Raw genomic sequence first — 19,842 nt, 5'->3', positions numbered from 1 at the left:
AATACATGGAACGCGTCTAAAACAATGCCTAGTCCATGATAAGCATGTTGGTATATGCCAACATTATGATGTTAGCAGTGGGTTATCACTAGTATTCTTTTTTCCATCATCAGCATGGATATACATCGTTCTCAGTATAGAATCCTTCTCTGTAAGATACAGCAATCATTATAAACGTATTACCTGAATGCAGGATTCTACTGCATCATTATATAAAATATTAATGTCTGAGGAGCTGTGGATGCCATCAGTGATTTCTTTTTGCCTCAAATCTGAAATGCAGTCTAGATACATTGCAGGAATTGCTCCATCCCCCCCAGGGTCCTCTAGTTCAGCTCTTGAACTTGGCAGGAGCTCAGCCATGCTATCAAATCCTCCCAGAGGCCCTGGGGGGTAGAATATGGGGCAATCTGCAGTGAAGAGCGGCTCCGGGCTGGCCAGAACATCTCCAGGTGGGTCTCTGATGCTCCGGAACCGGGCTGCCCAGATGGGGTCCCTCGCTGCCAAGGCATTGACACAGAACATGTGGGCCTTGCTCTTCGCGTGGTATTTGAGAGTCTCCACCTTGAATGGTCCTGTATAACCTTCTATTAGTCTTGACCGTTTGTCCCTGATGGAGGGGTATTCTCGGCAAGCAGAGCAGAACAGAGCCGTCTGCTCCTCATTCATGATCAGCCACGGAAACTGCACAAACCACGACTTCTGGATGGACCGGGGCTTCAGAAGTTTCCTGTTTCTTCCGGCCCAGTCTCCCTCGATGTGTCCACTGCCTGTACTGAGGTGGGAAAGGTAGGCTTTCTTCTGAGGCGGGAGGGACTGTCCACTCTCCCTGGTGGGACCTTGCACCTCCATTTCTCCCATGTAGCCCATCTGTTTTTTTCCTTTAGAGAAGAGACAGAAGGGATTGGCTTTAAAATCCTATAGTTAGAGCCACTGCAACTCACAGGGGCTCTGAGGTACACCAAATATGAAAGACGGAAAGCACACACACACACACACACACACACACACACACACACACACCTGAATTTTCTTCTAGTCCTGGCCAAGTCTGCAGGCCCTTCCCTCACCTATCCAGAATAAAGCCAAAGGGATGGGCTTTACGGAACCCTCCCCCTCCTTTTTGTTTTTTGAATTTAAAGGACAGATACAACCGGCCAAAAGGAAGTCTTTGCAATCTGATCTATGAAACGTACAATCTTCAGGAGTCAAAATTTATTTATGGATAAGAACACTGACATAATAGAATATAGGATTTAAAAAAGATCACTAAAGCCACACACCGCAACTCCAGGGGAAGAAAGCTACCTATCTCCTGGGCAGGCAGTTTTGGTCCCCAGGTAGTTTTCCTTAAGCTGTAATCTATCTTCGAATACTTCTACCTCAAAGTACTGGATGCTGACCCAGTTCTCAAGAGAAACTCAAGTCTAATTCCTCTCTTATAACATAAACCTTCGAACAGATGAGGACTCTCATGACCTCACATCTTTCTTCTTCAAGCTGAACTAGAAGTTTCTTTATTCACTTAGATGAAATGCAACTCAAAAGACTCTAACTCCTGTGGAACCACTTCTTATGTACCAACATAAGTTCCAATGCCCAGTGGCTGAGGACGCAACATTTTTGTGCCAGGCCAACAGACTGGTCTACAACACTGTAAGGGCATGAAGCTGTTAGTAAGAGTCAGAAGGCTCAAAATAAGAGCCAAGCAAGGGGAAATGAAACAAATTTGTCTCTATGATACTTTCCAGAGTCACAAAGCTGTCTAGAGCTCTTTGTGGTCTGAGAGAAATCACAAGGGAAAACAAACTTCTGTGATTTGATTCATACAGGATCTTGTTCCCCACCTCCCTCTTCTCCCACAGTAGGGGCTGGGTTAACGCAGTTATTTTACGTAATGCCAAGATGTCATCTGGCCTGGCTAAGCCAACCCCTGAACAGGAGGGTCTTATCAAAAGAGGAAAGAAAAGATAAATCCCTAGAACTTAGCAGACAGCTGTTCATTCATTCATTCATTCATTCAGTGATTATCTACTGTGCAACAGCTGGGTGCCAGGTATTGTTCTAAGCACTAGAAATATGGTTGTAAATAAGACAAAGTCATGCCTTCATGGAACTTATAATAATTATAAATAAACATATTCTCCTGGGTAGAAATAAGACAATGGGAGATGAGAGGTTGGAGAAGGACATTAGGGGCAGTGTGTATATTTAGGTATTAATCAGATGGCACCTGGGAGGAGAACAGCAGTGTCAGTTGGTGGAGAACAGGAAGGGCAGAGGATGAGCCTGGAGTCCTGGGGCTGCCCATGCTCCCTCTCCAGCCAAGCATCTGCCCCTGAGTGCAGTTCCACACTCACCTGGGTGATGCTCCAGAAGGCTCCTCTGGCCCTGGACGCTGCCAAGCCATGGCTCTGGCCCTCGTCCGAACTTGCGGAACAGCTCAGGATTGGCAACAGTTGGTCCTGAGTCCAAAAAAAAAAAAGAGAGCGAGAGAGAGAGAAAAGCACTATGAAGACCTGGCTCCGGGTCACAACACGAAGGAGGTATCTGTCTGCGACATCTCTCGGCATGGTGAGATAAGGGGCCAAGGAGGAAAGTAGGAGTCTTGGTGGTTCAGCACAGTGGTTCAGTGGTTTAGAAACTCTTATCTGTGAGGCCCCTAATAGAATAGGAGACTAGGAGAAAGGAATGAGGGCACAAGGAGGCTAAACAGGTATACAAACTATGGGTCAGAAACCCAAATACTGAGAGGGGCCAGCCTGGTAATATAACAGAAGAAACCAGGCCAAGTGCAGGGGCTGTGGCAACCTGCAAGACGTAAGGGAACAGCAGCTACTCAGCTGCAGAAGGGCTGCCACTCAGGATGCAGGCTCAGCCCTGCCACACCATCCCGTTTGTCAAGAGATGCCAGAAATCCATATTCTTATGTGAAAACTCCTAATAACTAAATATTGGCAATTTACTTAATATTTTTAAGAAGCCAAACAAAAGAAATGAAAGCCAAAAAACAAAGCAAAACAAAACTCCAAGCAGTGAGCCATATCTGGCCCATGAGCTGCTATTTTGCAACTTCTTGTTTGGAAGAATCAGTGGTTTTCAAACTCTTTTAGCCGGCACAGGAAGACTCACCCCAGCTGCAATCCTTCCACCCATAAAATGCTGATTGTTGCTTCTACCGTGCCTTACACAGGGGCCAAGATGAAATAAGAAAAGACAGGCATGGTAGACAGTCATCAACTTGCAATCAGCAAACAGTGCATATGTGTACACACATGTTGAAATACAACCAACCACCTCTGTCCTTCGCACAGAAAGTCTACCCAAAGAATCAAAGGAAAGAGCATTCAAAAATAGATGAGATGAAAATACCTACACTTGTGCAAACTCTTAAACTGTTTTATCTCACTCATCTCTAAGACGATGGAAATTCAGGCTTAAAAAGGCCAAGGGCATTCAAGTATCCAGTGGAGAGCTGGGATTGAGACCAGATTTCCACATCACAAATGTGATGCTCTTGCCACCACTGCTTCCTACCTCCAGTGTCCTACGGGCTCCACAGATCCACAGGCCTAGTTTCCGAGTTTCCCTCCCGGCCCCTTGGGGCATTCTGAGGCACCAGGAGACAGACCCAGGAGTCTAGCCCAGGCCTGCCAGATTGCCCCACTTCTCTTGACCATTTTAAGGGGAGAAGAGAAAGGGTGATGTGTGAATTTGCATGCAATTAAGGTAGATACGGGATCGAGCAGACAGGTGGAGTAAAGATGCCTAGACAAATGCTTGGATTCCAGAAAACTCTCTCCAGTGTTCCTGACGCAGATGAGGTTGGGAATGCCGATCTAAATTGACAGTGGCAGGGATGTGGATGGGCACCCATACCCAGTGGTGCCACCAGCTTGTTGGAACCACAGAGCTCCTTCTGTTGCTGGCTCAGCAGCACCCATTCCTCCTGGAGTAAGTACACAGTGATGTCATCAAACGTCACAGGAGCCTGAAAGGAAAATGACAGCTGCTAAGTACCACTCTCTTCCTTAGATTTATCTTCCAAAAGTGTTCCTGACCACCTGAGGGCACCCTACACGGGGAGGGGTGTTGTCAATTTACATGCATGGCCCACACCCCATCTCTCCCCACCTGGGTACAGATCACAGTGACAACGAGACTCGTTTCTTCTGGGAAGTGCCACGCACTGAAATGAAACTGAGCCATGAAGGAGGCTGGCTCAGGAGCTTCTCCGTCCCCTCCCTGTGTGCTCTTCACCCGCCTCCCACACGCCCGTTTCTTCTCAGCCAGGGGCTGGGCAACAACTTAGGGCACATTCTTTCATGGAACCTTAAACATGGTAAACCTTCGCTTAGGAAGATGTGTCTAATTTCTAGAAATAGCTGAAAGTCATTTAGAACTATGTCTGTGAATGAAGTCGATGATGAAAACAGGCAATGCTTTGGGGCTGAGATCTACATCCCGTGTGGCTTGTAAAGGGGCTCTGAGGGGTAGGGAGTTCAGAAAGTGTTTGGAGGAGTTCCAGATTAAGATGGCAGATTAAACAAGCCCATTTAATTTTGTTTATTCCCCGTGAATTTAAAAGACCCCCTCCCCAAAACAAAACCCCCACTATAATAGGGGGCGCAACAAGGAGATGACAGCAATACACTCTTGAAAACCAAGAAGCAGATGCAAAAGCAGTCACTTCAGCAGATCCAAGAAAATCAAACCCTCACCCGGCAGCGGGCAAAGCGGAGAACCACCCAAGGTACACTCTGCATCCTCAAAGGCTTGGCATCTTCCAGCACCGGAAACCTCCAGCATGGGAGGGCGGGCAGGCAGCCCAATGGAACAAGAACTAGGGGAGGGCTGTGCCCCAACAAATGCCTCCCCAGGTTCCTTTACATGAGGCTCCAGCTGATAAGCCCGTCCTCCCTCGCACAAGCACAGAGCTATTACATTTTCGGTCTTCCACCACTAAATGTCAGCAGACTGGACTACCAGACACTCGGGGAAAGGATCTAACAGGGACTATAGAGACCAAAATAGATGGGAGGTGTTGGGGTTTGGGGGGCAGGTTGCTAAGAAAATGGAGGGAAGGCATGGAGAAAAAAACTTAAAAAAAACTATCATCAAGCTACACCATCAAAGAGGTTTAAGGTACCACAGCCACGCAACAAAGTGTTATAAAAGAAATCAACAGAAAAAGAAGTAGAAATGTTTATCATTTTAAGTTTTGTGCCATGAAAACATTACCTAGTTAAAGAAATTTTAAAAAGAAATAAATCAAATTATCAACAAAAAACAAACTTCTCACTCCAAAGAAAAATAACATTGGGAAATAACAGCATGCCATTTAAAATAGGTGGAATATCGATTTTAACCTCAACAGTAGACATTTCTTGAGGAAAATGATATCAATCATTCTTACCGGTCACTATTATAATAGATTTTTCTCATGTTGACTGCAGAAAATTTGGACAATAGAAATAAGCAGAAAAAAATGTATTAAGATCACCTACATTCCCTTTATTGAAAAATAATTACTTTTCATTACCCTTCTTTCCTGAGAATCTGTTAACATTTGGTATATAACCTCCCAGTCTTTAGTCTATGAATATGTATGAACAGTTTTAAAAACAAAAATGGAATTGTACTGCCAAATGTGTACATTTAAATAACTGTTTGCTCGAGTGGCTTCCAAAGCAAAATGAAATATTTCCAAAAACCGATTGGAAGACAAGCTCCACTCAAAGAAAGTGGTCAAACAGGAGTCACCATGAGATACAACCTAGGGACAGCCAACGTGGGGAAGCATTGAAGACAACCCCAAGATTAGGCTGAAGGCAGATTCAGGATGACTGCTGTATCCCAGGACGGGAGGGCAGCCTGTCCAGATTGGGGCAGGTTAAAACACTTGTGATTCAGGACAGCCAGGATCCCTCTTCATGCCCATCCTTCCCGGGCATGCACAGGTGAGCATAAGGGCCAAGGAGCCCATCACGTTAGCTCCACCTGAGGAGGAACATGGCTAGGACTGTCCATTTGGATAATAGTGTCTTCCTAACAAGAGTGATAACACTAACACCTGGTATCTCTCTTAAGCAATATTATAGCAAGAGCCTTCTGATTCCAGGTGACTGCAATGTAAAGAAAACACAAATCTGCGTGAATAAGAGGAGCTCCTCACCTATGTGTAATGCAAAGAATCTCTCTCGATGTTCTATTTTAGCGGTTCCCAGTCACTCTCTACAAGGTAAAGCTGTCTGACTTCTCAGTCTAGCACCAAAGTCCCCTCAGTCTGAATCTAACCCACTTTCTAACTTTAGCTCTGTGCATTGCCTCGCTTGGAATGTCTCCTCCAGCCAGATTCATATCATTTTAATCACCCAGCCTATCTCGCACCTTTCCTCTCTCTACATTCCCAGTCTTTAGATCCTGACTGCACACTTCCTCCCACCAACTTAGAATCTACCCACCCATAAAGTCGCGATTCACGTTCTCTTTCAGGAAGGATTTCCTAACCACCTGGCCCAAGCATTTATCCTTCTCCTGAGCAAGGAAGGCTTTATATCCCCCCTGGAGTCCAGTGTTAAGGAAATCTATGCTGCTTGATTTTATAACTTCCTTCATCAACACCACCCTTCCCCCCACAACCATGCTATATGGAAAGTATTTTATAGGCATTTAATTCATTTTTTCATTCAACACACATTTATTACTTAAGTGTTTCTATGTGCTTGATGCATGGTAATTCAAAGATATGAGATTAAAATCTATCAGGAGGTGGCAGACAACTAAGATATAAGTGCAATAATAGAACCATGTTCAGAAAAAAATGAGAAAGGAGTATCAGTCACTTGTACAGGAAAGATAGAGAGGGCCAAGAAACAGAAACGTTGAGGCAACAAATACATACAGCAACAAGTACACATATAGACTTCTCTTTCGGGGCACCAACAGCACAGTCTCCTAGGAGGCACATGAGGTGGCGGGCTGCAGTGTTCTTCAGAGCACCCACACCTTGCAGCAAAAGGGCTCCTGTAGTGATGCTATTTTATGAGCATTCCTTCCTGAGACCCTATTAAATGCCAGGAACTGCTCCACTGTTCTAGCTGGGGATGTAAGAGTCAAGTCAACAAATACGTAAATAAATAAATGAACATGAGAATTTTATTTAGTGATAAGGGTTAGGAAGAAAATAAAACAGGATCATGGGATAGAACATGATGGGGAAAAGTCTGACCCTTATCCATTATTCTGTCAATGACAGGCAAGATGTCCTACATTCAATGTGGGATATCAATCCAATGGCCCAAGATGGCTGTCAGTTAATAAAGACCACAAAACAGCACCCAAGGAAGAGTCTAGTAATAGACCAAACCACTATCTCACGAGGTAGTCTCCCAGTTCTGAGCCATAAGAATGCTGTTCGGAGTGGAGTTGTAGAACAGCACCGCTATTCCTTGTCACTCATTTGCAACACATCTTACACTGACAGTTGGTTTTGTAATTACTTTATTTCATTCTTGTATGAAGTTCTCATTTCCCATATTAGAAAACAACTATCTTTGGGAAGGGTGAGCACCTTTCTGAGATACCCTAAAATCAAGATTATAATCAAGGGTGAAATTTCCAGTCTCTGAGGTTTCACTTAGTGGTTGGACAGGACACGGAATCAGGTTTCTCCTCTACCTCCCAAAATGTTTGTACAGTCATGTGTTGCTTAACAACAGGGATAAGTTCTAGGAAATGTGTCCTTAGGCAGTTCTGTCATTGTGGAACATCACAGAGTGTACTTATACAAAACTACATGGTACAGCCTACTACATATCTAGGCTATATGGTATATAGCCTTTTGCCCCCTAGGCTACAATCCTACACAGTATGTTACTGTACTGAAAACTGTAGGCCACTGTAACACATGGTAAGTATTTGCGTATCTAAACATAGAAAAGGTACAGTAAGAATATGGTAGAAAAGACAAAAAAAAAAAAAAGGTCCATCTGTATTGGGCACTTACCATGAATGGAGCTTGCAGGACTGGAAGTTGCTCTGGGTGAGTGAGTGAGTGAGTGAGTGAGTGGTGAGAGAATGTGAAGGCCTAGGACATGACTGAACACTTCTGTAGACTTTATAAACACTGCACACTAAGGCTACGCCGAATTTATCAAAAATTTTTCTTTCTTCAATAATAAATTAACCCTAGCTTATTGTAACTGTTTTACTTTATAAACTTAATTTTTTAAACTTTTGACTCTTTTGTAATAACACTTAGCTTAACACACATTGTACACCTGTACAATATTTTTCTTTAAATATTTTTGTATTTTTATTTTCCAGCAAACCATTCCATCAACAAAAAGTATTTTTCTTTATATTCTAATTCTATGAGGTTTTGTATTTTTAAATTTTTTTTTTTTTTTTTTTTTTTTTTTTTTTTACTTTTTAAGCTTTCTTAAAACCTAAGACACAAACACACACATTAGCCTAAGCCTACACAGGGTCAGGATCATGAAGATGTCACCAGGTGATAGGAATTTCTCAGCCCCACTGTAGTCTCAGGGGATTGTACGTGAGAGCGGTGTTGATGGAAACCTTGTTATACAGCGCATGACCGTATTTCTCTTCTCCCGTTAAAGGCTAAGAAAGCCTCTGACTGAACAGAATAGCTTGGAAATCAACTTCAAATCACTGATACCAATATCAATCCCAATATTTTATAATCCTTCTTCCCCCTACATTTTGCTTCTCTTTATTCAAATTCAGGTTCAATCTAAACCAATCTGGGGATATTTCCAAAGGGTAAGGGCCATAAGCTCCATCTTTGCTTGGGTTTTGTTGAGCTTTATTGGCTTGGACCACGTACTCTGTAGGTGCCGTGTCTGCTACATGCATCACTGTAGCTTGTGGAGGGAGGGAGGATGGAAGAGATGCTCATGCGAGAAATCACCTCTTTTGAAATTCAGAGTCCTTCCTAGTCTTCCCAGGAAAAACTACAGCATCAAAAGAACCTCATTATCCTTTTCTCTCTTTTCGTGTGGGACAACCCTTTCAGGCGTGTCCAAGTTATTGAAGTGAAAACTGCAGGAGAGCTCCTTGAGAAAGGTGATCATTTCCTATTTATCCTCATACTTCCAGCATCTCGTTCAATGCAAATCACAGATCACAAATGTTTATTAAATGGACAGTTTTTTAAGGGACTCAATAAACAGTCGAAAACGTTTGTTGAGAGAATTCTCCTCTGTGCCAAATAAGAAACAATACTCAAGAACTGGCAGCAAACAACATCCAGAAAGATGTTAGTCCCAAGAGGCTGCCACTGTCTCCAAGCTAATGTGCCCACAACCACACTGGTCTTGGATGACACGGCCTGGAAGCGCTGGCAATCCCGTCAAATCCCTGAACTCCGCCCCCAAGCACTTTCTTTCCACCTTTTCTTCCAACTCAAAGCCTCTTGCCCAAAGCCAATTTATGACACAGGTTTCTAAGCAATGCCCAGATATTCCATGAAGTACATAACCTAGAAACAGAAGTGGCAAAAAGCATGCCAGATGCCCTCTCTTTTCAGCCCTTTCTTGGTAAGGAGGATCTAGGCAGGGTCAAGCCCTCAAGCGTCCCACCCTGCAGCTCCCACTGGCGTCCGATCCAGACTCCAAGCCTTAGCAGGGCCTCTTCAAAACGCCGAAGGTGGTGGGGAAAACAGGAAGCACCTTCGCATCGCTCCACTCGGGGGTCACCCAACCCAGCATCGACCCAGCGGACGCTCGGCAGCTCGGGGAGGATGCGCGGACACCGAACGGAAGCGTCCGCTCCTCTCCGCCACCCTCCCGGGGTCGGGCGCCGAAGTGCGGGAAGAGAGGGCGGGCCGGCGAGTCCTTCCCTGCAAGCCTGGCTCATCTGCGGGGCCTCCGCCCGAGCCGCCCCGCCTCGCCCGAGCCCGGCTCGGGGATCCTCGGGAGGGAGCGGGCGGCCCCCGGGCCTTCCAGTCCTACCTTCCCCGACTCTCTGGGCTCCATGGCCCCGCTTTCGGAGGCCCGTGCCGCCCCCTCCCCCCGCGGCCTGGCCTGAGGATGCAGCCGCCGCGACCGCCCCGGGGACCCAGGCTCCCGGAGGGGGAGGGCACCCAGGTAGGGAGGGAGCGCGGCCCAAGAACTTCGCTCTCTCACGTCGGGGGGCGGTAGCGCCGGTGGACCCAGGATAAGCGCGCTGAGCTGAGACTTGCGTCGCACCGAGCGAACAGCTTTACGGTCACTGCCCAGCCCCAGGCGGCGGGGCGTGACGGGAAGTGTAGTCCGCTCTAGGTGAGCGGCTCTCGAAGCTGCTATTGGCTCCCGGAACGCAGGTCCTGATTGGACGCCGGCGGCGCGCTTGCGACCCTCCCCGCCTCCCTCCGGCGACAGTTACTAGGCAACGGCGGCGTGGCGTCCTTTAGTCCTCTGCAGCAAGGGCAAAGCGCTCTGATTGGGCTACGCGAAGGCCAATGTCAGCCTTGAAGTTCTAGGTTTTCTTTTATTAAGGAGGGCAATACTTTTTGTTCTATTCACTCAAAAAGTATCATTGGTTGCCTACCATGGGTCAGGCCGTGTTCTAGGGTTTGGGAGAACACAGTTGAATGAGACAAAGGCCTTGCCTTCAAGGAACTCACGATCTATTAGGGAATCAGACCAGAAACAGATAATTACAAAACAGAGACAAGGGCTATGAAAGAGGTAAGCACAAAACATGAATTAAAGCCCGCGTTGTCACCTTAGAGTGAAGCGGTGGGGGATATGAGGTGCTTAGTCAAGGATTTCCTGCGGAAGTGATGCCTCAGCAGAATTAAAGCAAGAGGTAGGGTCTGCCAGGTAAAGGAGGTGCAATGGACTGACCGGTGTTCCCCTCCCAGGAGATGGGGCGTTTGGGAGGTTTAGATGAAGTCGTGAGGGTCAGGCCCTTATGGTGGGATTAGTGTCCTTATAAGAAGTTTTGTCCAAGTGCGGTGGCTCACACCTCTAATCCCAACTCTTTGGGAGGCTGAGACAGGAGGATCACTTGAGCCCAGTAGTTTGAGACCAGCCTGTGCAACACAGTGAGAGATCCCATCTCTATAAAAATAAAATAATTTTGTGAGGTGGAAGGATCACTTGAGCCTGGGTGGTCGAGGCTGCAGTAAGCCGGGATGGCGCTTCTGCACTCCAGCCTGGGTGACAGAGCAAGACCATGTCTCAAAAAAAAAAAAGACTTTTAGGGGGCCAGGGCAGGGATGTGCCTTCATGAAGGTGTTAGTGACCACATGCGTGCTGGGGGAACTAGCTAGGCCCTTTGCCCTTCTGCCCCTCTGCCTTCTGCCATGTGAGGACAGAGCAAAAAGGTGCCCTCCTGGAAGCAGAGACCAGGCTCTCACCAGACACAGACACTGCTGGTGCTTTGATCTTGGATTTCCCAGCCTCCAGAATCATAAGAAATAAGTATCCATAATTTATAAATTACCTAGTTCCAGGGATTTTGTTACAGAAGCACATAGAGATTAAGACAATGGTCAACTAATTTTTTTGTATTTTTAGTAGAGACAGGGTTTCACCATGTTACACAGGCTTCAAGTAAGCGTTTTCCATTATCCAGCTCTGCTCTTCTGGCCAAGGTTGAATAGACCTAAATTCCGTTCGAGGAGTGTAGGGGAGTCTGCATTACTGAAAAAAAGAATGAGACACAAGAAATGTGGAGGAGAAGGCAGAGAGTGAGGACTCTGTGGATTCCAAGTGGCCTGCCACTCACCACCTCGACTATATCACTACCTTGAAGAGCTATATTTCTGCCCATGAGTTATCCATGTCTTTATAACAGATTCTCTTTTAGGGGTTAAAAAACTGGAGGACAGCTAGGGTAAATCATTCTTTTGACACATTTTTCCATAAAAGGTTTTCCATCTTTCCAAGAAAAATGGAGCAGTATCTAGGGGGAAATGGGGAATCAAAGCAGTAGGACTAAGATATGAGTCACAAGATCTTGTTTCTGTGTTGATGGGAAGGAAACTGATGATTCAAAGGGGGATAGTGCAAGGAACCAAGTCCTTGAGAAATCAGGAGGGTCTAGGAACAGGGTATCGAGGGCCCTTCCTAGGGATAGGAACACTTTTTTTTTTTTTTTTTTTTTTGAGATGGAGTCTCTCTCTGTCACCCAGGCTGGAGTGCAGTGGCTCAATCTTGGCTCACTGCAACCTCCACCTCCCAGGTTCAAACAATTCCCCTGTGTCAGCCTCCTGAGTAGCTGGGACTACAGGCGTGCACCATCACACCCTGCTAATTTTTGTATTTTTAGTAGAGACAGGATTTCACCATGTTGGCCAGGCTGGTCTCGAACTCCTGACCTCAAGTGATTCACCTGCATTGGCCTCCCAAAGTGCTGGGATTACAAGCCTGAACCACCGCGTCTGGCCGGGATAGCAACACTTTTGGTTATGCCAGGAGGGAAGAAGAAGATGGAGTAGATGTACATTTGTTTGTAGATTTACTGAGGGAATTTCCATCCGATGATGTCTCTTTGAGACAAGATCATCTCATGAAAATGAAGTGGGGAATAGAAGGTATACCAAGTCATCTTGGAGAATGGGAAATAGAGCTTACCTCAAACCTTGAATTAAAGGCCAATTTGAAGTTTATGATCACAAATTTCAGTTTAAAAAAAGCCTGGCTGCGAAATTCTGTTTAGAAGCAGAAAGTTGGGTAGATATTTGGCTTCATCCTGGCTTGGAGTATTGCCAGGTAGGTATGAAGGAGGCACAGAAAAGCAAGGGAATGAACAGTACTTGCAGGAGTAATTATGATGGTAGGAAAGTGATTCTCAATTCCAGCTGCACATTGGAATCACCCATGGACCTTTCAAACATCCTGATTTAATAGGCCTAGGATGGGGCATGGGCACTGATTTTTTTAATTTGTTTAATTTTTTTGTTTGTTTTTGTTTTTTAAGAGACAGGGTCTCACTCTGTCACCCAGACTGGAGGGCAGTTGCGTGATCTTGGCTGACTGCAGTCTTGACCTCCTGGGCTTAAGGTATCCTCCCACCTCACCCTTCCGAGTAGCTAGGACTACAGGAGTGTGCCATCACGCCTGGCTAGCTGTTTTTTTACTTTTTGTAGAGATGGGTTCTCACTATGTTGCCCAGGCTGATCTCAAACTTCCAGGCTCAAGTGATCAACCCGCCTCCCAAAGTGCTGGGATTATAGGCATGAGCCACCATGCCCAGCTGGCATTGATATTTTTTAAGAGCTCCTCATGTCATGTGCTTCTCACGTGCAGTTGGTGTTGAGAATCACTATATAGACCATGAATCTAAGCTGTGTCACGAGGGAAGATAGGAAACTAATAAAAAAGTGAGAAAGTGGTGGGTCAATGAAATTGAAATCACAAAAGCAGCCATAAATTATAGCAGTGGAGTATTAGAGCAAGTCAGCTGGAGGGATGGGAAGTCATGATTGGTAAGTAAATATTTGCGAGGTTTTGAAAATGGTCTAGTCGTGGGAGTGGATTCCCAAGACAGAGTGAAGAAGGTCATTGTAAGTGAGCAGGCAAAGAATGTGAGGCCAGAATTTTGAGTGGAGTATCCACATGGACACTGAAAATGGGTGGAAAGCAATGCTGGGCCATGAGTTAAATTCTTCTGTGGATGATAGGGAGTGACCAGGGTGGCAGGTGGGAGTCAGGGAGGGTGGTGTCACTACAGAGTGGCTCAGACAACCCGGGAAGACGGCTCTTTGCAGGAGGAACAGGGAGAACTGGCCCAACAGAAACAATAAACATGAACGTCACAGAAGACAAGTATCTCTTTTCCTGGCCTGGAGGTGGGATGACGTCTCAGCTTCCAGGTGAAGTGAAGCCTTCAAGGCATGGGCGAGCTAGTGTCAGTCATGACATGAAGGTGGAAGAAGCCTTTGGAGATGGGGACGATGGAGCAGAGTCTACGGAAGACAGATGTGGAGTCTCAGAGGCCCCAGTGGGTATCTGGGAGGGAGAGGCGGTGTGGGGGATCAGGTGAGACTGTGGGATTTACAAGAGGATGGCATGAGAGGTGGTGATGTTGAGGGACAAACGGGGAGGCTTGGTCTCCTGAGGAGGAATGGAGACCATGGAGACATGGAACAGGATGAGCTAGTCTTTTGCAGCACAGTGGGCCTCTTTTAATTTTTGTCCCCAGTACTTAGCTCAATAGTGTGCTTCTAGCTAGCTATCTCTGGCTTCACAGGGTAGGATAGGACTTTGGGGTGAATAAAACAAGGAAAGCAATTGGGAGGTGGGCAGAGTAGTGTTGTAAAAAACGAGGTTATAAAAAGGAGAGGGAGAAGCAGACATCAGCCCACATGTAGCGGACTGTCCTCCACAGCTGCAGCTGAAATCATATTGGGTGGAGGAATATGACCTGGGACACAGCGGTGTCTAATAACAGGAGGTCTTCAGGCTCCATTCAACCCTGTCCAGCTACAGATGGAACTGAGGCTCAGATATGGGAATGATTTGTCCAGGTTCACCAGTCATGGGGAATGCCATCTTGAGTCCATAGTAGATGCGCAGAGGTCTCCAGGAGACAAAGTCCTCACATGGGTCCAGGCCAGGACTCAGGCCCTCCCTCCCTCTTCCCTCGAGCCCCAGGATGGAGACGCTGCACAGGGATTTGTTGCCAGTATCACTTTATTTGGAACATGCTAATGCCAAGTCATGGGCCCCCAGTTGGGGGCAGGTGAGAGAGCGTGGAAGGACGTGGTCAGTGCTGCTGAGTCCCATGATCACAAGAGGGACAGCTGTGGACTCACCCAGCGGAGCCTGTTAGCGCTTTGAGAAGTCACCTCCTAGGGGACACGTGAGGGAGAGATGGGTTAGTAAGAGAGGCAGAGTGGTCAGGCTGGTGCCAGGAGGACGCCCAGAGCCAACACCAGGCCTTCCACTGTGCTCCACCCAGGTGGCACGGGTGCCTTCCACCTCTGTTTCCCCTTCATCTGCCACACAGTGGGACCTCAGGTTATCATATGGCAGGTGCTTAACAGAACTAGGCACCTGCCAGCCACTTCACACGCGTGCCCTCACCAAGTCCACCCAACAAGCCTGCATAGCAATGTCAGCCTTGCTTAAAAGATGAGGTCAGGGGGCTGGGTGCAGTGGTTCCTGCCTGTAACCCCAGCGCATTGGGAGGCTGAGGCAGGTGGATCACTCGAGCCCAGGAGTTCAAGAACAGCCTGGGCAACATGGCGAAACCCCGTCCCTACAGAAAAAAAAAAAAAAAAAAAAAAGGAAAAGAAAAATTAGCCCGGCATGGTGGCTCACACCTGTGACCTGTGGTCCCGGCTACTCAGGAGGCTGAGGCGGAAGGATCACCTGAGACCAGGAGTTCCAGGCTGCAGTGAGCCGAGATCACACCACTGCACTCCAGCCTGGGTGACAGAGTGAGACCCCATCACAAAAAAAAAAAAAAAAAAAGATGATGTCAGGGAGGCTGAGCAAGGAAACAAAGGAAACAGATGAGCTGGGGTTTGAACTAGGTGCAACTACCCCAGACACCCACAAGTATGCATGATAGGAGATGAAATTAACAAGAACACCGAGAAGAAGGAAAAACGTGGACTGGAAGGACTCAAGGAAGAAGGATGGAGTGAGGAGCTACACGTGTGTTCCTGGGTCTGGTTCACAACACTGGGTCCTTGCCCAGGCTCCTGCCCCGTCCCCTCCCTGCCCAGACCCACCCTGGCAGGAGCTGCACTGGCAGCTGTGGATGACCGGCAGCACCACGGGCTCTGTGTGGCCACCCAGACAGCGCAGGTTCAGGATCCGCACAGGGCTCTCCGGGTCTAGACGGTAGCTGCAGCAGTCACACTGGCTCTGCAGGTATGGCTCCTGGGCGAGAGGGAGCGGGTGAACTAGGGCCAAATGGAGTTTCCTCCCCTCCCTTGGCCTTTCCCATCTTAGGCAGGGTGGGATGGTGGGAGGGCCAGATCCCACCCTCTTCACTGAGCAGGGTGGCTGGGCCACTGCCAAGCCCCTTTTGCAAGAAGCCCACCTCCTTCACCCCCACTGTCTGAATGTCCAACAACCTACAGGTTAAACGAATACTTTTAACGTTCCCATCAGTGCCTCCTGGCTGCAGGGGGAAGGACATACTTCTACCGCAAGGGGCTTAGAGTCTAGTTGGACAGACAGAGTTATAATCTATGAAACTACAAATAAGTCAGTTCTAACTGCATAGTTCTGATCCCAAGTGCAAAGTGAGTTTTCACTCCAAAGCAGATCCCTGTGCACTGTGGTTAAAGCACCTATATCAGAGTCCTATAAGCATATCATTTAATTTTATGTATAATTCTATTTATAATTTTACTTTTAAATGGGTAGTACATTCATACAATGCCAGGTTCAAAAACTGCAAGAGGTTTTTCAGCGAAAAAATTTCCCTCCAATTTGTATCCCACTATCAATTTCTTTCCTCAGGAAAAAAAAAAAAGCATCTCTTAATTACTTTCTCTCTTTTCTCACTCTATGTTTTAAAAATTCTAAAAGTGTGAAAAAAAATTCCGAAAGTGATTTGGGAAAGTATTTCCAGGAGGTCCAGGGCGCGCCTGGGGGAGCCGTAGAGCGGCCGAGGGTTGAGGGGCTGTGTCTTTGGGGACCAGGTAGGAAAGTATCCTTGTCTTCCAGGATGAGGTAAACCAGGTAGGCTGAAGCAGAAGGGATGGCCGCAGAGTGCTGGGAGGTGGGCCTAGGGGCAGGCAGGAGTAGTGTGAGTGAAGCTGGAGAGAGGACCCTGGCAGGAGGCAGCTCAGGTTACAGCTCATCAGGCTGAGGGGAGTCAGGGTGGGCACAGAGCCCCTTGGAAGATCCTAAGAAGGATCAGGGGCTTCTGGGTCCACAGAGGGCAAACGCAGAGCGGAGCCACCTGCCCAAGACTCAGAGCCAGCCTGGCTCGGACAGCTTGCAGGAAATGTGTGCGGTGATCCTCTCTGTAGAAAGTGCATTCCGGCAGAGCTCTCATGCTCTCATGCACCGTGTGATGGGTTCTGATGTCAGAGGCTAGCTTAGCTCCTCCATGCCTTTCTTTGCTGGGCTCCTGGCTCATTGCCTTGAAGGGCACAGCGGGCACACTCTGGGAATGGTGTGGGGCCACAGAAGACCTCTGTGGGAGGGGGTCAGGCACCCAGTGAAACCTCTGGGCCAACCTGCAGGTGCACACCACTGCCTTGGGGAAAGCTCTGACCATCTGCCTCCCCAACTCCACTGTTATCTCCATCAGAAGCACCTTGTGCCTCATGGACTCTGGTTCTGCCCAGGTCCCAGGCTCAGGGCAGCCCTCGGTGGCCACTGGCCAACGTGATTCCCCTGGCCTGGACAGCAGGTCCCTGGCTCACCTCTGGCATGACATGGGTGCTGGATGGGCAGTACCCACTGCAGTAGCTCACTTCTACCTGGTCCAGGTAACAGGTCCCTTTGGTGAAGTTTCGAAGCTCCGTGAGGAGCTGGCAGGAGGGCGACTGCTCCTCTGTGGGGAGGGGCATTGAGTGGCAGGAGGTGGGGGTGGGGCACAGGAGGCAGAGGTGACTGAGGGGACTGTGGGGGTGGGGAGGCACAGGAGAACGAGGTGACAGGGGGAATGCAGGGGGAAACAGGAGGAGGAGGTGACAGAGGAGACTGTGGGGAGGGCACAGGAGAAGGAGGTGACAGAGGGGACTGTGGAGGGGAGGCATAGGAGGAGGAGGTGACTGAGGGGACTGTGGGAGGACACAGGAGGAGGGGATGACTGAGGGGACTGTGGAGGGGAGGCACAGGAGGAGGAGGTGACAGAGGAGACTGTGGAAGGACACAGGAGGAGGTGACTGAGGGGACTGTGGAGGGGAGGCACAGGAGAAGGAGGTGACTGAGGGGACTGTGGGGGACGGCACAGGAGGAGGAGGTGACTGAGGGGACTGTGGGAGGACACAGGAGGAGGGGATGACTGAGGGGACTGTTGTGGGAGGACACAGGAGGAGGAGGTGACTGAGGGGACTGTGGAGGGGAGGCACAGGAGGAGGAGGGGACTGGGGACTGTGGGGGGGACAGAGGAGGAGGGGACTGTGGAGGGGACACAGGAGGAGGGGATGACTGAGGGGACTGTTGTGGGAGGACACAGGAGGAGGAGATGACTGAGAGGACTGTGGAGGAGGACACAGGAGGAGGGGATGACTGAGGGGACTGTTGTGGAGGGCACAGGAGGAGGAGGTGACTGAGGGGACTGTGGGGGGGGACAGAGGAGGAGGTGACTGAGGGGACTGTGCGGGAAGGCACAGGAGGAGGAGGTGACTAAGGGGACTGTGGAGGGGACACAGGAGGAGGGGATGACTGAGGAGACTGTGGGAGGACACAGGAGGAGGGGACTGAGGGGACTGTGGGAGGACACAGGAGGAGGAGGGGACTGAGGGGACTGTGGAGGGGACACAGGAGGAGGGGATGACTGAGGGGACTGTGGAGGGGACACAGGAGGAGGGGATGACTGAGGAGACTGTGGGAGGACACAGGAGGAGGGGACTGAGGGGACTGTGGGAGGACATAGGAGGTGGAGGGGACTGAGGGGACTGTGGAGGGGACACAGGTGGAGGGGATGATGGAGGGGACTGTGGGGGACAGCACAGGAGGAGGAGGGGACTGAGGGGACTGTGGGGGGACAGAGGAGGAGGTGACTGAGGGGACTGTGCGGGAAGGCACAGGAGGAGGAGGTGACTGAGGGGACTGTGCGGGGGGACAGAGGAGGAGGTGACTGAGGGGACTGTGGGGGGGACACAGGAGGAGGGGATGATGGAGGGGACTGTGGGGGAGGGCACAGGAGGAGGAGGTGACTGAGGGGACTGTGGGGGGGACACAGGAGGAGGGGACTGAGGAGACTGTGGAGGAGGACACAGGAGGAGGGGATGACTGCGGGGACTGTGGAGGGGACACAGGAGGAGGGGATGACTGAGGGGACACAGGAGGAGGGGATGACTGAGGAGACTGTGGGAGGACACAGGAGGAGGGGACTGAGGGGACTGTGGGAGGACACAGGAGGTGGAGGGGACTGAGGGGACTGTGGAGGGGACACAGGTGGAGGGGATGATGGAGGGGACTGTGGGGGACAGCACAGGAGGAGGAGGGGACTGAGGGGACTGTGGGGGGGACAGAGGAGGAGGTGACTGAGGGGACTGTGCGGGAAGGCACAGGAGGAGGTGACTGAGGGACTGTGGAGGGGGACACAGGAGGAGGAGGGGACTAAGGGGACTGTAGAGGACACAGGAGGAGGAGATGGCAGAGGGGACTGTGGGGGGGACAGAGCACAGGAGGAGGAGGGGATGACTGAGGGGACTGTGGAGGGGACACAGGAGGAGGGGATGACTGAGGAGACTGTGGGGGGGGGGACAGAGCACAGGAGGAGGAGGGGACTGAGGGGACTGTGGGAAGAGGGGCAGGGCCTGGGTCTGAGGGAAGCGTGTGGGGCGAGGTGACCAGGCGCTATGATATGTGCTGGGGTCTTCACTCCTCAAATCCCCATGGTGGGTTGGCCTGGGGGAGTCAGGCAGCTGCCAGGCTGCAAAGGCCAGGTGTGGGGTGGCAGGGGAGAAGGGTCTAGACCAGGGAGAGGCACCCCACAATGCACCCAGGTTCCCTCCATACCCGGAGCCTCCCTGCGGCAAGAGGGACAGCAGCTCCCTGGCTCCAGCACCATCTCCTCGCCCTGCAGAGGGAGAGAGTCCCAAGGTGGTCTTGACACCTGGAGCCCGGCCCGCCCTCCCCACTCAGAGACCCTAAGACCAACCTCGGAGGAGGGTCCCAGGAAGGAGCCCGAGGAACCAGGGAGGGTGGTAGGGCTGCAGGGGGTACCGGAGCCCAGGTAAGG

General features: G+C 49.5%; 1 protein-coding gene and 1 pseudogene across 7 annotated transcripts in view, besides 1 other annotated feature; both read right to left on the bottom strand.

The window, feature by feature from the left end:
* The window catches only part of ZNF862 (zinc finger protein 862), a 29,105-nt gene extending 18,864 nt beyond the window's left edge, over window positions 1-10,241 (bottom strand). The window contains exons 1-5 of one of the 6 annotated variants that reach the window (XM_006716085.4): window positions 8,009-8,048; window positions 6,905-7,100; window positions 3,880-3,991; window positions 2,361-2,465; window positions 184-881 (exon numbers count right to left, since the gene is read on the bottom strand). In XM_006716085.4, the coding sequence (XP_006716148.1) occupies window positions 184-881; window positions 2,361-2,465; window positions 3,880-3,991; window positions 6,905-6,970 (981 nt within the window). In that variant the 5' untranslated portion in view covers window positions 6,971-7,100; window positions 8,009-8,048. Of the gene's footprint in view, window positions 1-183; window positions 882-2,360; window positions 2,466-3,879; window positions 3,992-4,721 lie in introns of all 6 variants that reach the window. The other 5 variants (XM_011516464.2, XM_017012519.2, NM_001099220.3 and 2 more) reach the window with 5 other exon arrangements.
* Window positions 9,706-10,165: a silencer, noted in NCBI's record as "silent region_18769". NCBI's record gives its function as "represses an Ori minimal core promoter by ATAC-STARR-seq in GM12878 lymphoblastoid cells {active_cell/tissue: GM12878}" and the evidence as "EXISTENCE:reporter gene assay evidence [ECO:0000049][PMID:35858748]".
* SSPOP (SCO-spondin, pseudogene) overlaps window positions 14,651-19,842 on the bottom strand; it is a 57,924-nt pseudogene continuing 52,732 nt past the window's right edge. The window contains exons 100-103 of the transcript NR_163594.1: window positions 19,620-19,680; window positions 17,351-17,481; window positions 15,698-15,848; window positions 14,651-14,809 (exon numbers count right to left, since the gene is read on the bottom strand). The product of NR_163594.1 is annotated as an SCO-spondin, pseudogene (transcript). The remainder of the gene's footprint in view (window positions 14,810-15,697; window positions 15,849-17,350; window positions 17,482-19,619; window positions 19,681-19,842) is intronic.

This window comes from Homo sapiens, chromosome 7, assembly GCF_000001405.40.
Source record: "Homo sapiens chromosome 7, GRCh38.p14 Primary Assembly".
Lineage (NCBI taxonomy): Eukaryota > Metazoa > Chordata > Mammalia > Primates > Hominidae > Homo > Homo sapiens.
Note: the sequence above shows the minus strand (reverse complement) of the source record. Positions and strands in the feature narration are given on the sequence as shown.